General features: G+C 35.8%; 1 protein-coding gene across 10 annotated transcripts in view; it reads right to left on the bottom strand.

Annotated features, from left to right (window-relative positions):
* The window catches only part of PWWP3B (PWWP domain containing 3B), a 40,652-nt gene extending 30,080 nt beyond the window's left edge, over positions 1-10,572 (bottom strand). For 3 of the 10 annotated variants that reach the window (XM_047441823.1, NM_152423.5, XM_017029269.2), the window contains exons 1-3: positions 10,452-10,572; positions 7,738-7,865; positions 1,518-1,653 (exon numbers count right to left, since the gene is read on the bottom strand). The gene's annotated coding sequence lies outside the window, so the exon portion shown is untranslated. Of the gene's footprint in view, positions 1-1,517; positions 1,693-7,737; positions 7,866-10,451 lie in introns of all 10 variants that reach the window. The other 7 variants (XM_047441822.1, NM_001171020.2, XM_011530856.2 and 4 more) reach the window with 3 other exon arrangements.

The following is a 25,980-nucleotide window of genomic DNA, read 5'->3' as shown; positions in this document are numbered from 1 at the left end:
GAAAAATAATTGCATGGTTACTGAAAATTGAAAATATGAGAAAGATATATAAAAAGAAAGTATAATTCTGGAAAGATACTATTTCCTGTATATCTTTCCATATTTTTTCTTTACATAAACGTATGAATGCATATTATTTCAAATCAGCTTTTTGTCCTGCTTAAGCTCATGGTTTAAACATTTTTGCATACTACTAAGTGTTTTCAATGTGATTTTTTAGTGAATCACTTCAAATGCAATTTTCCCCCAACTTTGCAACATTTTACCTCAATCTTTTTTCTGATTTTGTTTTAAAAAAAGGCTAAATATGTATTAAGAATTTTTCAAAAATAGTGATAGTAAAGCCTGCCCTATCTCTTCAACTGCACAAATAATTCCATTAGCAGGCTGGTTTATATTTTTTCTGATTTGGTTACACATGTATTAATGTAGTCTTTTATGTTTAAATGACATAATATGGTGCTTACCATTCTGCAGTTTGCTCTTTTTACTTCTCAGACACCTTTTCAAGTCACTACAAGTTCATACTTTCATTTGTCAGCTATATAACGTGCCATTGTATGGATGCACCATAGTACATAATACGTTTAAAACTGTTCATAGAAATAAACCAAATCCTATCCGTTTCTCACTCTTACACTTAGATGATATAGAAAAGTGGTTCTTGCTGACCATGGCTGTACCTGTGGACTGAAAGAGCGGGCTGCAGGGAGGACACATGCAAGGCTGTAGTTGACACAGCAACCAGGCTACCCACTTGATCAGGTCCAGGAAAAATTCCACTATTCACAAAAGACAAGGGAGTATGGGAGCGTGTCTGTGGTGTCTATGTGTGTTTATGTATTTGAAACAAAATGGGTATACTGTTTTGGCTTTATTTTGCTCTTCTTATTATGAAAACAAGCACAAATAGAAACAATTCTAAAAATGCTGGAAGTAGTGAAAAATAGATTTTAAAAAAACTTCCATAATCTGAACACTCAGAGATGAACACTCAGAGATGCTGACTGTTAACTCGGGAGTCTAGTTCCCTTCCTAAGGAAAACGAATATACATCTTTACAAGTGTTACCACTCGACGGCATATCTGAATCCCTTTCCATGTTCATGTACATTTATATTTGTGTCCCTATATGTCATTCTCTTTGTGTGTTTACATTTTTCTATCATTTTTTGTGTAGAATAATGTGTTTAAGTCAAAATATAATAAAATCTGTAACAAAGATAGAAATATGTAGTGCCACGTAAAAAATTAACACGAACAGCACGTCTCACCGAAGTCTTAATTTAGAAACTGTAATTTGATCGCCCATTCCCACACGGAGGACTTTAAAAATATCGGGCGAAACAAAAATTCAGAGGATTAATTCCGTTCCAATAACAGCAGTTCAAACAAAACCATTCCATTCCCACCTCTCTCAGGCAACAATCTCTATTTCTTTTCTTTCCTTTTTTTTACTTTAACACCAAGGCCCGAAGAAATTCCCAGAAAATAACTGGCTTTAAGACAGCCATTACCTTGAAGCTTCTTGTCAGCTGCAGCCTCTTGAAATGCTGCCCCTCCCCCAATACTGGCCGGGTACAGCTCCCTTCCGAGCGGCTCCGACGAGGCTCCGCCCCCTCCCAGTGATGGGAATAGCAAGGGGACCTTTCCCTCAAAGGGAAGAGGATCACCAAGTTAAACTGCAATTCCCTTAAAGCGAAAAGATCATCATTTTTAAAGCAGTTGAAAGCGGAATGGCAACATGTGTCTGTTTAATTTACATTCAAACTACAAGAGTGTGTGATTTTCTGGGAAAAACAAAGGTAGAAATGCCTTTACCATATAATAAAGACTCAGTAAAGAACATCTTTTACATATTTTTCTTGCCTACTTTGGCAACTTATTTCTAAAAACGATTTCAAGATCCGACTGGTCAAGCTCTATTAAAAAGCCCCTCTACATCCTTATTTGTACTGCAATGAATTAATACATTATTTTGTGGATAAGCAATTCCCTGAAATTTTAATTCTTCTGGCCCTGGCACATGATGTATATCTCTCTTTTTATTCAGGTCTTCTCATTCATCTTTCAGAAAGTTTCATCGTTTTTTTCAACTAAAGTCATTTCTAAACATAAAACATCAACCAAAATCCTTAAAGAGATATGTAGGTATCTGAATATCCTGAAATTGGAAACAAAAAAATTCTTATTGGCAAAAACACAATAAACCAAATTTGAAAATATAAGAACAAAATTGACAAAACTGTTTTCAACGCAAAAATATCACTAAAGTAGTTCTTACATATTAATAAGAAATAAATGGCAGAGTAAAAATGGGCAAAAGACATAAATAGACAATTCACAATGTTCTGAGAGTATAATTTTTCCCCACTCCTAATATTTACTTCCTTGAGGGCAAGCTCATATGGTGCCACCACAGGAATCTCTGTCCCTTCCTGTACAGCTACAAACCTCTAGGCTATTTTGGTAGGTTTGCTTAAATTTGGAGTTCTGTTATCAAGCCTGTAATCCCAGCACTTTGGAAGGCCGAGGTGGGCAGATCATTTGAGGCCAGCGGTTCGAGACCAGCCTGGCCAACATGATGAAACCCCATCTCTACTAAAAATACAAAAATTATCCAGGCGTGTTGGTGGGTGCCTGTAATCCCAGCTAATCAGAGGGCTGAGGTGGGAGAATGACTTGAACCCGGGAGGTGGAGGTTGCAGTGAGCTGAGATCGCGCCACTGCACTCTAGCCTGGGCAACAGAATAAGACTCCATCTCAAAAAAATAAAATAAAATAATAGTTAATATATAAGCCCATTTGATTCTCACAATAATCAATACCCCGCAACTTCCTCTTCCTCTTGTACTGTTGTAATGTTGACATTTTGGCTTCCATCTGCAACTCCATTTGTTTTATATCTATCTATCCAGTTTGTTCAGTGGAGAAAGGGAGGTGCTATATATCGGGACTCCTCAAAACCCAAATATTCAAAATAAAGATTAAAACTAATACATAAAAGATATTCACCTTCCCTAATAATCAAAGAGATGCAAATATAAAACAGCAATAAGATGGCATTTTTCTACTTAAATTGACTAAGAAGCAAATAAATGATACAACTAATAGAGATCCAGGAAACAAGGGCACTCTTGCTAATGCCACGGTCACAAAGCTAGGAAGAGGGTGAGACAAAATCGGAGCCAAAGTCTGACTCCAAAACAGGAGGTATGCCCTCTTTCCACCACTATTCACTCCCTCCTGGGCTTGGAATCATGTTTCTTTGGTAGAACCAAAGATGATGTCGCTCACATTCAAACTGTGAGGAAATTGGTGAATATAACACCAGCGTGGCCGGGCACGGTGGCTCACACCGGTAATACCAGCACTTTGGGAGGCCGAGGTGGGCAGATCATGAGGTCAGGAGATCGAGACCATCCTGGCTAACACGGTGAAACCCCGTCTCTACTAAAAATACAAAAAATCAGCAGGGGGCGGTGGCTGGCGCCTGTAGTCCCAGCTACTCGGGAGGCTGAGGCAGGAGAATGGCGTGAACCCGGGAGGCGGAGCTTGCAGTGAGCCGAGATCGCGCCAGTGCACTCCAGCCTGGGCGACAGAGCAAGACTCCGTCTCAAAAAAAAAAAAAAAAAAAAAAGAAATAACCCCAGCGTGAGTGTTGCTTAGTCTCATGTCTCTGATGGTGAACATATTGGTGAACTACAACCATCTTCAGCAACTACCATGCTTACTATCCTTGACTTCTTTCTATCTCTTACATCCATCTACATTCCCACACAAATTAAAAAGTATTTTCATGCACTATGCTTTTTTCTTCTTTTTTTTTTTTTTTTGAGACAGAGTCTTGCTCTGTCGCTCAGGCTGTAGTGCAGTGGCACGATCTCAGCTCACTCTGCCTCCTGGGTTCAAGTGAGTCTCCTGCCTCAGCCTCCTGAGTAGCTGGGATTACAGGCATGTGCCACCACACCCAGCTAATTTTTGTACTTTTAGTAGAGATGGGGTTTCACCATGTTGGCCAGCCTGGTCTAAAACTCCTGACTTCAGGTGATCTGCCTGCCTCGGCCTCCCAAAATGCTACGATTACAAGGTGTGAGCCACCGCTCCCAGCCTGCACTATGCTTTTGCACTGACCGTATCTGCATGATAGCATTAACTTGGCCTTAGATCAGTTATGAGAAGTCTCTTTTGTGTTATAGGGGCCTGGCAGCAGCTTCCCTTTCAGATATGGTGATTCCTGGACAGGGGCTGAAAATCATTCGTTATACAGAGAATTGCCATTTTCATTCTACCCTCATTAACAATTGGCAATTCCTTGCTCCTGTGCTTTGCGGTTTGCAGCTGCCAATTCAGTATGGGAAAGTTGCATTTTTATCCTCTTTTGCTGAGCTTTTTTATTCACAAAATATTCACAAAATTAAGATTTAAATTTAGATTTTTATTGCCTTTAATGTTCAGGTGTTGTTTCCCAGGAAGCATTAGAACCTACACATTGCTAATGGATAATGATTCTGAGGTTTAGGTCTCTTAAGATAATGTTATAAAAAATCATAAAACTAGGTAAAGTTGGTGAGGCCCTCACAACCCCATTTGTTATCACAGTGAGTGGGTAAACACATCTCCTGCCACATTCTCGCTATTCAGGTTAGAGACACAGAGCTGCATTTGACACATCTCTTCCTGTAATGATCAAATGGAATAAAAGAAAACTGTCTGCGTTGGGGACTCTAAAGAAAGAAGCCATCATTCTTCCAGAGACTCATAACAGAAGGGTCAGCCTGGGTCAAAATTTTCCTGGTAAGCAACTTTAAAATGACACAGAGTTCTTTGGTGAGATATGGATTTCTGTTGGCAGGACCCAATGTTTAGCTTGTAAGAGTTTATCACCAAGGCATTATGACATGGTTATGTTTCTGAATTTTTCAGACAGCCAAAAAATCAGACAGTGTGGGTTTGAAACCTTTATTAGCTCAGCGGAGAAAAACTGTCCAATCCTTGACAACAATGCTAGGTTGTCATCTCCCATATCCTAGATAGCATAGTCAGCAAGGATGCATGGGTCACCTGTATCTCTATATTAACCTAGATTGTCCAAATATTAAATATTAAGCCATTAATATATTTAAAAATACAATAATAAAAAGAGTTTTAGCTACTTAGTTGTCTAGAAAAGCTGTTTTTTGTTTGTTTTTGTTTTTTAAGAAGCCTCATTCTATTTATCTGGGGATAGTAAATGGTTCTCGTCTGTTGTAGCCTCTTTTATCCCCCTGAACCTTCACAAAGTAGCTTGAATAAAGTATTTTCAATGGGTGATAATTGGATTGCATTAAAACATGGCAAAGAAGAAAAGAGATCAGATAAAAAATTTACTTTACTAAGTAGGATGAAGGTAGACGATGAGAATATAGACAAGACACAAGTCAGAAGAACGAATAATGGGTATCAGATAGGTGGGGTTAGATGTGTGGAATATATTTGGGGGGGTACAAAAAAGAGAAGTATTATAACACAAACCCAATATCCCATCGTTATTTTCTCTGTTGTGTAATAAAAAAGGAATTGTGTGGGAGGAGCTTTGGCAGTATCGGGGACATTGTTTTTGTTCTTGGATAATTTGGCCTTTTGCAACCCTCTGAGTTATCGTAAGTGAATGCTGGGTTCTAATCTTTTCTAAGCTGCCACTACTGCCCTGTCTATCCAAGGCAACCAAAGGAGAGCTCACGGACACAATGAGGCTCAGCATCAACAATCTCACTGACAGCACAACGTTATGAGGCACGGATTTGTGATGGTTGCTGGGAAAGAATTAAGTTTGTTAAACCACTACAAAATATTATTTAAGAGAATATAGTCATGTCGTGCATAGTGACATTTCAGTCAATGACAAACTGCATATATGACGACGTTCCTGTAAGATTATAATAAAGCTGCAAAATTCCTGTTGCCTAGTGATGTCGGTCACAGCCATTGTAACACTGAAGCACAATTCATGACTCACCTGTTTGTGGTGCTGCTGGTGTAAACAACCTACTACACTGATAGTGGCATAAAAGTATAGCACATACAATTATGTGACGTACCTAATACTTGATAGTGATAATAAATGACTGTTATTGGTTTATGTACTTACTGTACTTTTTAATCTTATTTTAGTATATTCCTTCTACTTAGAAAAAAAAAATGCTAACCGTAAAATAGCCACAGAGCAGGTCTTGATTCAGGGGGTATTCTAGAAAAGGGCATTGTTATTCTAGGAGACAACAGCACCATGAGTGTTACTGCCCCTGAAGACCTTCCAGTGGGACGAGATGTGTAAATGGAGGATGGTGATATTGACGATCTTGACCCTGTGTAGGCCTAGGCTAATATGTGTGTTGGTGTTTAACAAAAAAAAGTTTGAAAAGAAAAAAAATAAAAAATTTTTTAAAATAGGAAAAAAGCTTATAGAACAAGGATATAAAGAAAGAAATTATTTTATTTTATTTTTTTTACTGCTGTACAATGTGTTAGTGCTTTAAGGTATTATTACAAAAGTGTTAAAAGATTTAAAAATTTAAACATTTATAAAGTAAAATGTTACCATAAGCTAAGGTTAATTTATTATTAAAAAAATATTTTTTTTTATAAATTTAGTGTAGCCTAAGTGTTCAAGCTACAGTAGTATACATAATATTCTAGGCCTTCACTTTCACTCACCACTCACTCACTGACTTACCCAAAGTAACTTCCAGTCCTGCAAGCTCCATTCATGGTAATTCCCCTATACAGGTATACCATTTTTTGTCTTTTATGTCATATTTTTACTGTAACTTCTCTATATTTAGATATGTTTGGATATACAAATACTATTATAATGATAATAAATGACTGTTATTGGTTTATGTACTTACTATACTTTTTAATCTTATTTTAGTATATTCCTTCAACTTAGAAAAAAAAATGTTAATCGTAAAATAGGCACAGAGCAGGTCTTTCAGGAGGTATTCCAGAAAAGGGCATTGTTATTCTAGGAGACAACAGCACCATGTTGTAGGCAGTTGTGTTGCAACTGCCTACAGTATTCAGTATTCACCACTGTAGGCAGTTGTGTTGCAACTGCTTATAGTATTCAGTACAGTAACATGGTATACAGGTTTGTGGTATAGGAGCAATAGGCTATACCATATAGCCTAAGTGTGTAGTAGGCTATACCATATAGCCTAAGTGTGTAGTAGGCTATACCATCTAAGTTCGTGCAAGTACACTCTATAATGTTCTCAGATAAAATCGCCTATTGAAGCATTTCTCAGAATATGTCCCCATCGTTAAGCCATGCATGACTGTACAGGTGATTCAAGAAGGTCATAAGACCTTAAGCAGGTTCTAAGAAACCTTTATAACTATGTTATCTAGTTTATGGTATGACAACCTAGTATAGTTGTCAAGGACTACAGAGTCAGGCCTCAGGGAGACACCTGCATAGCCTCTTGCATGATTTCTTCATAGTGGTATAATATATGGATTCTTTCCAAAAACTAGAAGTTATGACTTTTAATTACAAACATGATAGCTGTAGAACAGGAAACAAAATGAAGTACACCCCAAATTCTCAACCTAACATAATCCTTACATGAAATGTGGCTTTTAATTTAAAATGCTATGATGACTGTAGAGCCGGAAGCAAAATACATTGTTCTCCAAGTTCTCAACATGTTTATACCGTGAAATGTTTTGTGAAATGGGAAGAGTCTTACTCACTGTTACATGGATACTGCTGGGTCTGGTCCTGTGGTCCAGCTGTCTTGATTCTCACTCCAGCTGCTTGTCCAGCAGGGTCTTTACCTGGCTCAGCACTTCTGTGGTTGACCTGTCTTTCTGGGGCTCGGCTGGCAGGGAATCAAACCAATGAAATGGAAAAGGTGTAAATAAATTTCCCTACCTAAACTCTAACAGGCTGTCATTCCAAAACACAGGAATGAGGCAAAATCTCATCTGTGATGTAGATGCCATCTATTTTCCTTCATGTTATTATAATATGAAATGCTCTCTGGGTCAGTTATGTTATTTCGTTCATGCTAAAATCATATCCTTCAGGAAAATTATGAGGTGGAGAAAAGAGAGAAGGGAAAGAACAATTGACTTGTTTCTACTATGGGCCAGACTCTATGTAGCAGCATTTTTTATGATTTCTGTGTGAGTCTTCATGTCAGTTATTGGTGGGGATTTTTCTTCTAGATATTTATAATATTTTGAATGGAATTTCAATCACACTCTACATGCTGTCTCATAGTCGGCTAATACAAAACATATTTCATTGCTTTGTCCACTTCATAAAAATATTTGCCTGGACAAAGCTTAGTAAACCTGGCAAGCACCATCTTGTGACCAGAACCAGAACTGCAGACACTCAGGCTTCTAGAATTTTTCATTCTCAGTTTAAGAGTTCTGTGCATGTGTTATACAAAAATGGGATCATAATGTTCTCATTTTAATATTTTTCATCATAATATCTCTCATGCAAATTGTATATATCTTTCTACATCTTTTGGATTTCCAAAGAAGAAAGGAAATCTCCACAACAATGGTCAAAATGTAATGGTTTGCTCTGTATATTTCTAGATTTTTTTCTGTAGAGACTTACCAATGTGGAAGCTTTTTGAAACTAGACCCTTTATTCCTCCAGTAATATATTTGAACATCTTTCCATATCAATAATTATTTTCCATATCATCTTTTTGTGAATTGCTTTACAAAATTTTTTCCACATTTCTAAAATTTTATGTTTTTCTCATGATGAAAATTATTCAGGCTTGCTCTTTTCAAAATGAAATTTTTAAAATGGGGAAATGTAATACATAGAAGGTTAAAATATTCTGTCTATTAATTGGAGATATGTGTGGAGATATAAGAACACTTATATCTCCAATTAATAAAGTGGCATGTATTATTTCCAGATTTCTCCAATTAATAAAGTAGCATGTATATTTCCAGGTTTTTATTGCATACACTGTACGAATGCATGCACATTCTTTTTGGTAAACAAATAGGATTACATGATACAGGCCATTCTTCAATTTGCTTATTTTTAGAAACTACCTTGGACATTTACTCTAATCATTGCATTTAGAGTTAACTCATTCCTTTTACAGCTGCGTAGTATTCAACATTATAGATATACTATCCTATATGACTATGTCATAATATGTTTAAAACATTTTACGAATTATTCCTCAGGAGTATAAAGATAAATATGTTCTGCTTGAACCAGAGTCTGGACTATAGCCTCAATAGTTGAATTGCAAGAAAAGCACAAGCAATCAGGTAATGAGCCTTCTCAGACCCATAGAAAAATCCTACTGCAGCTAAAGACAATGGAATGTGTGTGTGGCTATTTGCTCAAGTGTCTGTAACAAAAGTGATTATTCCCTTTTCAGCTCCATTATCGTTTCCAAAAGAATCTAAAAGTACATAAAAATCTAAAGATGAAAATACACATCATCAGTACTCAAACCCTGAGTTGTTCACGGCATACATTTGATGTCTAATCCTTTTTATTTTTTTCCTCATCACATACATGTTTGAATATACTATTTAAAATTACATTTATTTAGCCACATATTTGAACACCTTTCCCTGTTTATATATGAGTTTACGCTATTTTGGGGAAAGTAGCTTTTCCCCATGATTTTAAGTTCTCATCTCAGTTTCTATGCCGACATAGAAACTACATGCTAAGTAAAATGTGGAAGAAAGAAGTGGAAAATTTCCTCCTTTTTCCCCTGACATCCTTTTTTATCAGGCATCCTTTATTACTAAGTATATTGTTTGTTGTGTTTTATTATACTAATGCACGTCTGTTATTGTTATGATCTTTTAGATTTTTTCCATTGCAGTACAAATAGGAATGTACAATTCTCTTGAGAGATAGGTAGAAGTACAGACAAAGATCATATTTTGCACATTATTTAAAAAGCTATTATATTAAGTCATTGTGTATCCCTTGACAAATAACCAAACTAATTCTCAGAGATACTCGAATTTGCACAGTTATGCATTACTTTAAATTACTAACATACTCCACCAAAACAGTAAGATTTGTTAGAAACACAACACATTCAAAGTAATATAAAAAACCAACATCCCCAACAACTTAATTTTTCATTTAAGACTATTACAACCTTTTTCAAAATAAGGAAGATTAAACTCCCAAGTTTTGTTTCATCATTTATCTCAGCCACCACTGCCTTTTGATGGAAACATAAAATGCTCTATTAAAAAGTTAGCTTTTGCTACCTCTTTAAGAATATTTTTCCACAGGTGTAATGTTGATTACCACCTCCCCGACTGTGGACTTTTAAAATAATCTGAAGGAACACAAAACACAGATATTAATTCCCTCACAGAAACAACGACCCTCACAGAACGACACTCCTTTCCCGTTATTCCTAAGCAGCACTCTCTTCTTTTCTCACCTTTATTCCAAATCTTCGAGAACTCTCTGAAAATAACTAGCATTTACGACAGCCATTACCTCCAAGCTTCTCCACGGAAGCCTCCGAAGCCTGTGTGTAATGCAGCTCCTCCCCGAAGACTGGCTGGGCGCAGCTTTCTTCCAAGCTCCTAGAGGATGCTCCGCCCCCTCTCCGTGATGGGGAAAGCACGAGGTTCTTCCTTCGCTTAGGAGAAAAATGACCAACTTAAACCGAAATACAGTTAAAGGGAAGAAATGTTCCTCTTAAAGTACTTTAAAGTGTAATGGTAACCTATGTCTGTTCAATTTCCATTCAACCCCCTAGGATAGGTGTTTTAATGGAAAAAGAGAAGCAACAGCAAATCTCTTTTTCATATAATAAAGATGTGGTTAAAACGTTCCTTACATATATTTTTTCTGATCCTCTTTTGTACTTTATTTCTGGTAAATTTAAGACCTACTGGCCAAACTTCACAAAAAAACATACGCTAAGTATTTTGATTTGGATTACAGTGAATTAATACTTTATTTTAGGTAGAATTAATTCTTTACAATTTTGAATCTGAACCTGGGACATAATATATCTCTCCTTTTATTCAAGTTTCTTATACTTCTTTCCTTAGGTCATTTCCAAAGAAAAATCCTCAGACAAAATCTGATTATACTGAAATTGAAAAAAAAAATGTATTAAGCGTAAAATCACCATAGGCCAAGTTAAAAAATCAGCCGCAAACTTAGGAGTGCTTTTCAAGTGCTTTTGTTTGTCCATATGATTAGATAAACAAAAATATACCCAAGCTAGTTCTTTCATTTCAATAAGAAAGAAATGAACAACAAAGTAGAGAAAGGGGCAAAGAACACAAGCAGAGAATTCCCAACGTCCTTCCCTATTCCTGATATTCACTTCACTGTGAAGAAATCTCAAAGCAGTGTAACTTGAAGGCTCTCTGCGTCTTCTAGACTAGAGAAATATGCTTCTAGGCTGATGGATAGGTTTCCTTAAGTCTGGAGTTCTGTTAGTCTCATTTCACTCTCACAAGCAAAGTCCTGCAATTTATCTTCCCCTCTTAATAAAGCTGACAATTTTGGTTTCATCTGCTATTCAACTTATTTTTACCACATTTTCTTCATTATTTTTAAGATATGACAATTGTAAACTTTTTGTACCCACGAGATTACCTCAAAATGTATAATAATGCAAAAATGGATAGAAATACATTATTGGGCAAGTAAGAAAAATTTGATTAGCTCTTATAGAAGTAAAAGGAACTGGTGGTCAGTGCCTCCTCCTGAGGCTCTTTTACCTACAAAGTACTTTGATCTCTCCCAGATTAATGTCTGTTTATTTTGGTCTTGGAATGTGATTTTTTTGTACAATTGACAAAAATTATATATATTCAAGATGGGTAATGTGATGATTTGATATATGTGTACACTGTGAAATGATTACCACAATCAAGCCAGGTAACATATCCATCACCTCACATAGTTACCATTTCGTGTGAGATGAGAACGCTTTAGATCTACCTTCTTAGCAAATTTCAAATATACATTACATATTATTAACTACAGTCACCTTTTCATGTACCTTTTGACCATTTGCACATTTTCATTGGAAAAAATAACTACCCAGTGTCTTTTACTCATTTTTAAAATCAGGTTACTTGCTAGTTTTTTCTTGACATTGAGTTTTATAAGTTTCTTATTGTGGGTATTAATTTTATAAGTTTCTAATTGTGGATATTGACTCCTTATTGGATGCATGGTTTGCAAATATTTTCTCCCATTCCATGGGTTACCTTTTCATTCTGTTGATTATTTTCTTTGTTGTGCAGAAACTTTAGTTTGATGTAGTCCCACTTGTTTATTCATGTGATTTCTAATAGCAAGTTATCTCAAAAGCTCTGATATAATTTCAAAGCTCAAAGCTTCTCAGTATTGCAGCTCTATAAAAACCGCTTCTGTTCATGAAACATTCTGCAAAATTGTGGGACAAATTCTGCTAATGTGTAACAAGGACATAATACTAAGAATAATAGTTTATTGAAATATAACAACATCAAGAACAGAGAACTGATAAACTGTGTTCTATAAAGTCACAAGACCTTGAGAAACATTGCTATCCAGAATGAAAAGACTCTACTCTAAAGTGTCGCTTTTTTATTATTGTTGACATCAGTTTTATTTTCTTTGGTATTAAAAAGTGCTCTAAAAAACCAGTGGTTGCACCACTTAGAATGGCAATCATTAAAAAGTCAGGAAACAACAGGTGCTGGAGAGGATGTGGAGAAATAGGAACACTTTTACACTGTTGGTGGGACTGTAAACTAGTTCAACCATTGTGGAAGTCAGTGTGGCGATTGCTCAGGGGTCTAGAACTAGAAATACCATTTGACCCAGCCATCCCATTACTGGATATATACCCAAAGAACTCTAAATCATGCTGCTATAAAGACACATGCACACGTATATTTATTGCGGCATTATTCACAATAGCAAAGACTTGGAACCAACCCAAATGTCCAACAATGATAGACTGGATTAAGAAAATGTGGCACATATACACCATGGAATACTATGCAGCCATAAAAAATGATGAGTTCATGTCCTTTGTAGGGACATGGATGAAATTGGAAAGCATCATTCTCAGTAAACTATCGCAAGAACAAAAAACCAAACACCGCATATTCTCACTCATAGGTGGGAATTGAACAATGAGATCACATGGATACAGGAAGGGGAATATCACACTCTGGGGCCTGTTGTGGGGTGGGGGGAGGGGGGAGGGATAGCATTGGGAGATATACCTAATGCTAGATGACGAGTTAGTGGGTGCAGCGCACCAGCATGGCACATGTATACATATGTAACTAACCTGCACAATGTGCACATGTACCCTAAAACTTAAAGTATAATAAAAAAAATAAAAATAATAAAAAATAAAAAATAAAAAAAACCAGTGGTTGTAGAACATAAACATACCAAAGTATAAAATGTTGAAAATACCAAATATTGGTAAGGATAAGGAGCAATTGGAAGGTTCATACACTTTTTACAGAAATGTAAATTGGAACTCACATTTTGGGAACTGTTTTGGCACTATTTGCCTAAAGCTGAGCATTATAGAGGTTAAGAGAGAACCATCTAGTGCGTTAAGTAGCAGAGTGGAATATCTAAATTGGTAATAGAGAAATGGTCTCCACAGAGACCTATGGGTACCCAGATGATCCAGTGGGACATAGAAAGTAAATGTTTAAAATTCAATTTCTTTCATTTTGATTTATTTTATAAGCTTCTACTTATAAATATGTTAAATGCACATAATAAATACTATAATGTATTACATACTTTATAAAAATATCGAACAATTGGGAGGTGTCAAATTTTTTTTACAATGGTGATAAAAATATATGTGGACATCCCTGCTTTATGGCACTCACACCCCACATAGCCTTCCCACTTGTCCTTTCCCAAACCATTTGCATGGTTTGGGATTATTTTCTCATAAAAGACTAATTAAGCTGAACTTGCTAAATTTCCTGTATACTGTTTTCACTGCTCAGGTAAGCTAACGTTACTCTCATTAAATGTTTAAGGTAATCATGAGAAACTGAATTACAGTAAGCCATGTCTTTGCAAAATGATTGGTTCTCTCAAACTTCAGGTAAAGCCACAAAATATGTGGGTATACAGTTATTCTATTTGGACTATGTAAGTGTTTTCACTGTAATATTATAAAGCCAAAATTCTTTGTTTTAAGTTCAAGGGTACAAGTGCAAGATGTGCAGGTTTGTTACATAGGTAAATGTGTGCCATGGTGGTTTGCTGCACCTGTCAAACTATCACCTAGGTTTTGAGCCCGGCTTGCATAAAACCAAAATTCTAATACCAACAGTGAGTGTATTTTTCTTTAACGTCAACCTAAATTTAATTTCTTAGTTCTGTAATTGACTTTGAGACCTTGAAAATAATGAGTAAATTTTTTTGGATATCTGGACAATTCCTAAGAAAATCAGAATTCATAAACACAAAGCATCAAACATACCAAATTCCAATTAACAATTTTTATTTAGATTCTTACTTACATATAAAAGTATTTTTATAAAGCTCAAAATAAAACAGTAAAATCAATATTGTATGTGTATCATCTACTAATATGTTGAGAGGTTAATTGTATTTTAAAGCTCATATTTACACCTTTCTATGATATGTGTTTATGTGTGTGTATTTGGGTCTGTGTTTAAATATACACATATAATGGTACATTAATTTAAATAAGAGTAGTTTAGGAACAATAGAGAGGATTAAATTAAAATGAATAATGATTTTAGAACATGTAATCTGACTTCAAAATGAGATTATATAAACTTATTATTATTATTTTATTTATTTATTTATTTATTGAGACAGAGTTTCCCTCTGTTGCCCAGGCTGGAGTGCAATGGCGCTTTCTCAGCGCACTGCAACCTCCGCTTCCCTGGCTCAAGTCCTCAGCCTCCTAAGTAGCTGGGATTACAGGCATGCACCATCATGCCCGGCGTTTTGTATTTTCGGTAGAGACGGGGTTTCGCCATGTTGACCAGGGTAGTCTCTAACTCCCGACCTCTAGTGATTCACCTGCCTTGGCCTCCCAAAGTGCTGGGATTACAGATGTGAGCCACCGCGCCCGGCATAAACTTATTATTTACATTTCATATATTCTATCATGATAGCAAAATATTTAATACGCCTCACCTTCATGTACATTTTCAATCCACACGAGGTTATTCATATTCTTTTGTGCTACCTCTTGTGCTCACAAAGTCTTCATTTCAGGAAGAGCTAAATTTTTATTTATTGTTGTGCTTCTTTCTGTTATGTTTATTTTAAATATTGCATTGTCACTATAGTTAATGAGATATCCATGGATAAAACTGTTTCTTCCTCTTAGGTGTGTATTTTCTAATTTTAATTAAGCAGCTGATTTCCTCTAGTAGCCTCTTTAGTTATTTTCTTCCCCCAAATTTTATCTTTAATTAATTAATTACCAATTTATTTTTTGTAGAGACGGGATCTCACTATGTCAGCCAGGTTGGTCTCAGACTCCTGGCCTCAGGCAATCCTCCCTCCTCAGCCTCCCAAAGTGCTGGGATTAGAGGCATGAGCCACCACGCCTGGCCTAACCCTAAACTGTCTTTAACCCTAAATTGTCCCATTGTCTTATACACCCAAATCATCTTTGGCAGTTTTCAGATGGCTAGAAAATAATACAAAAGGCATACTCCCTCACCTAATAAAAGAAGGGATGAAAATATACTTAGGTATATTTGGCATGCTATTTTATAAGTAGATTTAGTGTTAGAAGAACGACTATCTCTTTTTAGACACACATTTTGGAAAAACTGCCAAATCAAAAAAAGAAAATCAGCCTCTCCTAGATTAATTTTGTATAGGTAAAGGGCTATTGATATAAATGTTTCACTGACTGTATCTTTTTCAGATAGACATAAGCATGCTCTTATTCATGTGTACATGCTGACACAATAACATTTTACAAATTGATGTACATTATAAGATTTCATTCCCAGGTTCTTATTCCTTGCTTTTTAGTGACAATTGTGGTCCACACTTTATAGGAAGGTTTATAAAGTAGACTTGCCAATCACAGTCCATAAAACATAGACTGACTGACTTACACTTACTTATGGTAATTGTTACCTAAATTCTTTTTTTTTTTCAATTTTTGGAAATTTTTTTAAATTTTATTATTATTACACTTTAAGTTTTAGGGTACATGTGCACAATGTGCAGGTTTGTTACATATGTATACATGTGCCAGGTTGGTGTGCTGCACCCATTAACTCGTCATTTAACATTAGGTATATCTCCTAATGCTATCCCTCCCCCCTCCCCCCACCCCACAACAGTCCCCAGAGTGTGATGTTCCCCTTCCTGTGTCCATGTGTTCTCATTGTTCAATTCCCACCTATGAGTGAGAACATGCAGTGTTTGGTTTTTTGTCCTTAAGAAAAGGTCATGGTTAGGTCCGTATATGTATTATACCCAATAGGGAAATCCAGGCTCCTCTATCTGATATATTCAATCGCTGTACTAAATCAACCCAAAGCTGTCAGTCTTGCAACTTTCATTGTGACAGTCACAAAGGGATGTGTCACAAATTACAGATCAAAGATTGGGTATTATGAAAGATGGGTCTAAGAAAGTTAGCCTTAGAGCCACAATGAAATGCACTGTACAAAGGACCCAAGATTCAAAATTTCCCAGACTATGTCAGCCCAGAAGCAGGGGACTTCAGGAGGTAGATCACGATTCCAAAACAAATGGAACAAGAATTTGTTACATGAGACTAAGGGAGGGCTGAATGAAAGGAGGGGAAAGTCTAATTATGATTATTTTCATGGGGATGTTTTAGATACTGTGTTTATAGGTATTCTCTATTCTGACGGTCTTATGCCATAGTGTTTTTTTTCTTTCTCCCTCTCCTTTTCCTTCTCTTTCTCCTTCTCCTCCTCTTCCTTTTATATTTTAACTCTCCACATTACAGCATACCAGAAATATCTCAGTCTTTAAGGTAAATTTCTTGATCTTTATTCTCTAACTTTGGAGAAAGTAAGTTCATAAAATTGGTAAAGAGCATTTCTGGAGTAATTGGGACTTTTTAAAATAGAGCTTTGGATTTTTTCACAATCTTCGGAGAAACAGTTATCAGGGCTTGGTAGTTTCTCACCATGAAAGGGTTGGCAACAATATAATGAGGTGTGGGTATGTTCAGTAACACATAATGCACTTATGTAAATATATCAAGATATGTAAACAAAATACTCTAAAAGCCCAGGTGAATTGACAAATTAATTTGTTACCATTAAGATTTATTTACTTGGTTATTTAATTTGGAAATTGCTCCAAGATGTTGGAAACTGAGTTAAATGATTAATATAAATAAGTACAAACCTTGCTGATAATCATGGTTCTAATAACAGTGTATAAAGAAAGTATGTCTAAGTTTCACTATATTGAAAAATTATAACAAACAATCAAACAACATGTTAAAATGTGAATGATTATTGCCTTTTGGAAGAGGAGACCAGAAAAATAGACAGTCAAAAGGAAAAAAAATATTGCCAAGCTAAGAAATGGGCAAACTATATATTCTACATATTTATTCTCAGATTGAAAGAAAATCACTGGCAATAACTTGCTTTTTGGTGTTCTGCTTCCTATCTCTATTGACTTGATTTCAGGCCTTCTTGTTAGATGTCCCTATTCTACACTGTTGCTGGAGGATGAAAACTTTTAATCTCAAGCAGATAAATTCTGAACATTTGCTGCTTAAATACAAATGTTTTTTTTTTGTTTGTTTTCTGACTGATAGCATGTACCGAAAGTGCTTTTTATTTTCTGACTGATGGTCAGTATGAACTGTACTGCCACAAGCTTCCTTTGTAACATCAGGAAAGGACATTATGTCTTTTAAGACTTTATGAAAGGACACTTTCTTCATTATTATGAAAACCTACTTGTTTATGTAAGCATTCTTAGTTTCCAAATTTTTAATCATTCAATTTCAAAGCCCTTTCCCACCTGGCATGCTCTCTTTTAAATGTTTCTGTTGTTTTGCTGGTTCCCTTGCTGGTAAATTAACAAAATTTGACACATGGTAGAAATAAATTTGTCCAAAGCAAATTTGTATCAGGTGATATACAAAGTATATAACAATTCCGAAGGCATAGACTTTCACCTATCTAACACGCTATGAACAAACAGTATGTAAGAATGCCAGCCAGCCGTGGTGGCTCACGCCTGTAATCCCAGCACTTTGGGAGGCTGAGGCGGGCGGATCACGAGGTCAGGAGTTAAAGACCAGCCTGGCCAATGTGGCGAAACCTCATCTCTACTAAAAATACAAAAATTAGCCAGGCGTCGTGGCGCGCACCTGTAGTCCCAGCAACTCAGGAGGCTGAGGCAGAAGAATCGCTTGAACCCCGGAGAGGGAGGTTGCGGTGAGCCGAGATTGCGCCACTGCACTCCAGCCTGAGCAACAGAGCGAGACTCCGTCTCAAAAAAAAAAAAAAAAAAAATGCCTACTGGCTGAATGTCTTGCCACCTTAAGCACAAGAGCAAGAAAAGAATGTACTGGAGTTGAGCTTATGGATACTGAGAAAGGCAAACTAGTCAATCACTGCTAGGGCCAAAGGAGCCTGAGAAATCTCTGGGCAAATGTGTGGGAACAGGGTGGAGAGGGAAAAAGTGCTTCCAGTGAAGAGAGATGAGCTCCCACAAAGAATCTGCTGACACATGACCCACAGGAATATAAGTTTGAGTTTGCCATATTTGGGAATTTTTGTGTTTCTGAGTCAATATGTAAAACCTGCACATTGCCAATGGCTAATAATAATATGAGTTAGACTGCTTAGGTTAATATTATACTAAGATTTTAAAACAAAGTGCTAAGGTTTCTGAAGACCTGACAACTACCTCATCACAGTGTACACATAATTACAAAAAACAAACAATCCTAGCTCTTGCCACACTCTGAGATCACATGTTAGAGAGACAGAGCTTCAGTGAGAAACAACTCTTCTTGGGATTGACAAGCAAAGAGCAGGACCTTCTGTGATCAATCTTGGTGATTCTAAAGCAAGAAAGAGCCATCTTATTGTCTAGGGGATCCATAAAAGAAGGGCCATCCTGGACCAGAATTATTCCTGTATCTATTCTGCATGAAAGTCATTATCATTTTCTAGTGAGGATATTTGGAGACTATTCACAAGGTGAGCTGTTTAGCTTTAATAAATTGTCAGGGATGCACATACCCAGATGGTTACATTTTTGATTTCTCAATATTACAGGCAGTCTGATAGATATGAATTTATTTCCCAGCTCTACCACTTGTCATGTCATCTTAAGTTTCTTAATTTCTGTGTACCTCAGTTTCCTCATCTATAAAATGTAATTTTAATATCTAACTCAAGTTGATAGAAGTAATCAATACTGTAGTTCACCTGAAATAAAAACATGTGGGAATTTACAGGAAACTTTTGAAAAATAAGTGTAAGTAGGGAAAACTAACACTGCCATATATAAAGCCATATAAGCGAAATTACAATAATTAAAAGTTTTTTGTACTACTAACCCTACCTAGGCATGGAGCAAGCAACTAATGAAGACATAGCGAGAATGGGAGAAAGGGAAAAAGAAATCCAAATGAATTGTAGAGCATCTGAAGATATACATGGTCTGTTGATGTACAGTCATGCATTGCTCAATGACAGGAATACATCCTGAGAAACGCATCATTAGGCAATTTCTTAGTGGTGCGAACATCATAAAGTGTACTTACATAAACCTATAGTATAGCCTACTATACTCCTATGCTATAAACCTGTACATGTTACCATATACTATAGGCAGTTGTAACACAATGGTAAGTATTTGTGTGTGTAAACATATCTAAACATATAAAAGGTACTTTTAAATAAAGTATAAAAGATAAAATATGGTATACCTATGTAGGGCATGTACCATGAATGGAGCTTTCAGGACTGGAAGTTGCTCTTGGCGAGTCAGTGAGTGAGTAGTGAGTGACTGTGAAGGCCTAGGACATTACTGTACACTACTGTAGATTTTATAAACACTGGAAACTTAAATTAATTAAAATTATTTTTCTTCAATAATAAACAGCTTACTATAACTGTTTTACTTTATAAACTTTTTAATTTTTTAACTTTTGATTATTTTGTAATAACATTTAGGTTAAAACACAAACACATTGTATAGTTCTACAAAAATATTTTCTTCTTTTATATCCTGATTCTATAAGCTCTTTCCTATTTTTTAAATTTTTTTTTAACTTTTAAAACTTTTAAAAAATAACTAAAACACAAACACATTAGCCTAGGCCTATACAGGGTCAAGATCATCAATTTCACTGTCTTCCAGCTCCACAGCTTGTTTCATTGGAAGGTCTTCAGGGGCGGTAACAGGCATGGAGCTGTCATCTCCTATGATAACAAGCCTTCTTCTGGAATACCTCCTGTAGGAACTGCCTGAGGCTGTTTTACAGTTAACTGTTTTAATAAGTTGAAGAAATACGCTATAAAATAACAATAAAATGTATAGTAAATGCATAAATGAATAGCAGTCATTAATTATTATCAAATATTATGTACTGCACATAATTGTATGTGTTAAATTATGCTTTTATACAACTGGAAGTGCAGTAGGTTTGTTTTCACCAGAATCACCACAAGCAGATGAATAATGCTACGACAGCTACTGTGGACTTCACTCAGCCATGGGAACTTTTTAGCTCCATTATAATCTATGGGACCACTTTTGCATATGTTGTTTGTCGTCAACCAAACCATCATTATTCAGTGCATGACTTTACATAAATATAGACTAGAAATCTGTCATAAATTATTTGCATCCTGGGAAAATCCTTGGGATATTGACATGTTTTAAATTCCTGGTTCTCTACTAACGTGAGGCTTTTAATATGGCTCTTTTGTTTTAGGATTACTAACTGATACCAACTTTGGTGCCCTCATCTTTTCCTCCTAAAACTGCAAAGGGGTTTAAACACTTGTTTTGAGTGGGCAATACTTGAAGATACTGAATTAAGTACAAGACAGAAAAGGAGAATCAGAAAAAAAGAGTCATATCAGAAAAAGAATCTTGTCAATGAAGATGCAGTAGAGATATGAGAATAAAAAGAGTGGGGATCATACAGAGGAGATCTCATACATGGAATATATGTTAAAAAAGAACTATAAGAGTACTATCATAACACCCTAAGACCAATATATTCTTATTATTGTTCATTTATTTTAAGTTGTGAGTATATTTGTACTCATGTGTGACAGCAACACTGATGTTACAGAAGCCCACTTGCTCAAAGTCACCTGCCACTTTTGTCATCGGAGCCAAAGCCCATGAGTGCCCTGAAGCTATAGGGATCAAAATATACAAGTGCTGTGCTTCCAAGCCTGCTACAACTCCCACTGCCTCTGTCAGAGCCAGAGCTAGGAGCACACTGCTGCGTAGGCTGCCAGACCATCTGTGACACCACAGCCAGGACCATTCTGCCTGAGCAGGAACCCAGGAGACTACATTTCTACTGGGGAACCCACACTCCTGCTGAGGAGTCTACCTCCCCACTCCTACTACTGCAATTATAGGAAACTTATATTGCCAAAAAAAAGAGAGAAAAAAAGAACAATGGCTTCTCTCCTTCTTCCACCTTCCCAATCTCCTACCAGTTTCTCCCATTTACATAATCTAACAGATATCAAGGTAGCAAGGGAGTCTGGGCGAAGTAGTCTATGGGCTTCCATTACTTATAATACAGAAGAATGGAAAAAGAACTGAGAGAATCAGATACAATAGGATTATAATGTCTTTATTGTCAATATTTCTCTGTAAAATAATTATATATGCTCATAGAAAATATAAAAATGCAAAAATACAAGATATATAAGGAAGACAGTATAACACACCAGAGATGCCTACTGTAAATATTTGTGGTTTTTATCCTTCATAAATTTTCACACATATATATGTGAATATTATTTGATACTATGGTTTTTAAATTCAACGATATATTTAAATATTTTTAAATCAAAAGTATTATTTTCATCATTTAAAAGATTATTTTGAACAATACATTCTTTATATTTCTAAAATATCTCATTTTTCTGGTAGCAAAACTCATGTAAATTTTTAAAGAAAAATCGAACCAGGAGAATGTTATAATATAGATGTTGATATAATCCTGTATCTCCATCACCCCTGGTCCGTGCCTGCTTATCCAGCTATGCTCTATTAATTATTGGCATATATTTTATAGATTTTTTTACATACTGTTCAAAAACATGTATTCTGCTTCGAAAATGGGGCCATATGATACATTCCATTCTGCATTTTGCCTTTTTAAAAAATAACATGACATTTCTATGTCACTACATATATAGCAACTTCATTGTTTTTAGAAACAACATACTGTAAAATCTTGTGGATAGGCTGTCTAATATGGTTTGAAAGTATGTTCCTCCAGAATTCATATGTTGGAACCTAAACCCTAAGGTGATGGTATTAAGAGGTGGGTCCTTTAAGGAAGTGATTAAGTCAGAAATTCTCTACCCTTGTGAATGGGATGGATGCCCTTAAAAAGAGGCTTCAGTAAACTGCCTGGCCCTTCCATATCTTCTGCCATGTGAGGACACAGTGTTTCTCCCTTTTGCCCCTTCTGCCATGTGAAGATGCAGCAAGAAGGTGCAAGCCCTCCTCAGACACTGAGTCTGCTGGCACTTTGATCTTGGGCTTCCTAGCCTCCAGAACTGTGGGAAATATTTGTATTATTTATAAATTACCCAGTCTAAGGAGTTTCTGCTATAGCATCAGGAAAGGACTAAGACACCTTACTTACTGTTTAATAACCTGCTTTTTCTTTAAACTGCTTTATTGAGGTATAATTGACCTAAAATAAACCACATGTATTTAAATTACATAACTTAATATGTTTTGACATATGTATAAACTGTTAAACTATCACCACAATCAGCATAACATCTTTTCCTTGCACCCCTTTTTAATCACCCCCCACTCAGTCCCTATCCCTAGTCAACCACTAATCTGCTTTCTGTCACTATAGATTTGTTTTTCCAGAATTTTATATACATACACTTGTACAGTGAGTCACCTTCTTTATCAGCTTCTTTTACTCAGAATAATTATTTTGAGATTCATTCTTCTTGTTATATGTATCAATAGCTTATTCCTTATTATTGCTGATTAGTAGTCCATTGAATTTACACACAATGGATTTTTTAGCCACTCACCTATTAACGGGAAATTTGGTTATTTCCAGTTTGGGGCTGTTACAAATAAAGCTGCTACAAAATTCATGTAAAAGCCTTTGTGTAGTCATATTTTTTTTGCATAAATACCTAATGGTGGAATGACTGGATCATATAGTAGATGTACGCTTAACATTTTAAGAAACTGCCAAGCTGTTTCAAAGTAACTGCATCATTTTACATTCCCATCGAAAATATATGAGTTCAGTTCTCCACATTTTCACCAACACTAGGTATACACAATTTTTAACTGGTCTATTAAGTGTGCAGTTGCTTCCTTATTATGATGTTGAACAACTTTCATGTGCTTATTTGCCATTCATATATCTTCCTGAGTGAAGTGTCGATTCAAATATTTTCCCTATTTTTATTTGGTAATTTGTTTTCATTTTATTTAATCTTGAGAGTTCTGTATACATTCTGTATAGAAGTCCTTTATCTGATATATCATTTTAAAAAATTTTTCTTCTGGTTTATGAAGTCTTTTCATCCTCTTATAGCTCTTCAAAGAGCACAACTTTTAAATTTTCTTGAAGTCTGATTTATTATTTTATTCCCTTAAGGATTATGCAATGCTGTCATATATAAGAAGTCTCTGCCTAACTGAAAGCCATCAAGGTTTTCTTCTATTTGTTTACAATGTTTTGTGGTTTTATACTTCACATTTAGTTCTATGGTTTAATTTTTTGAACATAATGTGAGATTTTTATGTGTATATTCAATTGTTCCTGTGTCATTTGCTGAAAAGAATGTTTCTTCTTCTGAATTGCCTTTGCATCTTTGTAAAATATCATATCAATTGTTCATGTATGAGTAATATATTTCTGAACTTTCTCTTCTATTTCATTGCTCTATTGTTTATTTTTACAATAGCACTACACTATTTTGATTAACGCACCTTTGCAAGAAGTCAGGAAGTATGTTCTCCAACTTTGTTCCTTATCAAAGTTGTTTTGGCTATTCAATCTTCTTTGCATTTTCATGTGAATTTTAGAATCTCCTAGTTAATTTCTACAAAGAGACTGCTGGGATATTGACTGGAATTGTAGTGACTCTACTGATCAATTTAAGTGGAATTGAGACCTTAAAAATTGAGTGTCCTGATACATAAACACTAATTATGTCTCTAAAATCTATATTGTTGTATATCAATATAGTCATTCCAGCTTCCTTTTGATTACTGTTATCATGGTATATTGTTTCCATCCTTTCACTTTTACTTTTTGGTGTGTCTTAATAACTACAGTGGGTTTCTTGCGAGCAGCCTATAGTTTAGTCTTGTTTTTTTACCCAACCTTACATTTAGGTTGTTTAGACTGTTTATATTAGATATGGTTGTTGATGTGATTGGGTTAAAACCTACCATCTTGCTATTTTTTTTTGTTTATTTTACTTTAAGCTATGGGATACATGTGCAAAATGTGCAGGTTTGTTACACAGGTATACATGTGCCATGGTGGTTTGCTGAACCTATCAACCTGTCATCTAGGTTTTAAGCCCCGCATGTATTAGGTATTTGTCCTAATGTTCTCCCTCCCCTTGCCCCCTACACCCTGACAGGCCCCGGTGTGTGATGTTCCTCTCCCTGAATCCATGTGTTCTCATTGTTCAACTCCCACTTATGAGTGAGAACATGAGGTGTTTGGTTTTCTGTTCCTGTGTTAGTTTGCTGAGAATTATGGCTTCCAGCTTCATCCATGTCCTTGCAAAGGACACGAACTCATTCTTTTTTATGGCTGCATAGTATTCCATGGTGTATATGTGCCACATTTTCTTTATCCAGTCTATCATTGATGGGCATTTGGGTTGGTTCCAAGTCTTTGCTATTGTAAATAGTGCTGCAGTAAACATACGTGTGCATGTGTCTTTATAGTAGCATGATTTATGATCCTTTGGGTATATACCCAGTAGTGGGATTGCTGGGTCAAATGGTATTTCTAGTTCTAGATCCTTGAGGAATCGCCACACTGACTTCCACAATGGTTGAACTCATTTACACTCCCACCAACAGTGTAAAAGCATTCCTATTTTGCCACAGCCTCACCAGCATCAGTTGTTTCCTGCCTTTTTAATAACCATTATCCTGACTGGCATGAGATGGTATCTCATTGTGGTTTTGATTTGCATTTCTCTAATGACCAGGGATGTTGAGGTTTTTTTCACATGTTTGTTGGCCACATAAATGTCTTCTTATGAGAAGTGTCTGTTCATATCCTTTGCCCACTTTTTGATCAGGTTGTTTGTTTTTCTCTTGTCAATTTGTTTAAGTTCCTTGTAGATTCCGGATATCAGATCTTTGTCAGATGGGTAGCTTGCAAAAATTTTCTCCCATTCTGCAGGTTGCCTGTTCACTCTAATGATAGTTTCTTTTGCTGTGCAGAAGCTGTTTAATTTGATTAGATCCCATTTGTCAATTTTGGCTTTTGTTGCAATTGCTTTTGGTGTTTTAGTCATGAATTTTTTGCCCATGCCTATGTCCTGAATGGTATTGCCTAGGTTTTCTTCTAGGGTTGTTATGGTTTGGGGTTTTACATTTAAGTCTTTAATCCATCTTGAGTTGCCTTTTGTATAAGGTGTGAGGAAGGGGTCCACTTTCTGTTTTCTGTATATGGCTATCCAGTTATCCCAGCACCATTTATTAAATAGGGAATCTTTTCTCCATTGCTTGTTTTT

The sequence above is a fragment of the Homo sapiens genome, chromosome X (assembly GCF_000001405.40).
Source record: "Homo sapiens chromosome X, GRCh38.p14 Primary Assembly".
Lineage (NCBI taxonomy): Eukaryota > Metazoa > Chordata > Mammalia > Primates > Hominidae > Homo > Homo sapiens.
Note: the sequence above shows the minus strand (reverse complement) of the source record. Positions and strands in the feature narration are given on the sequence as shown.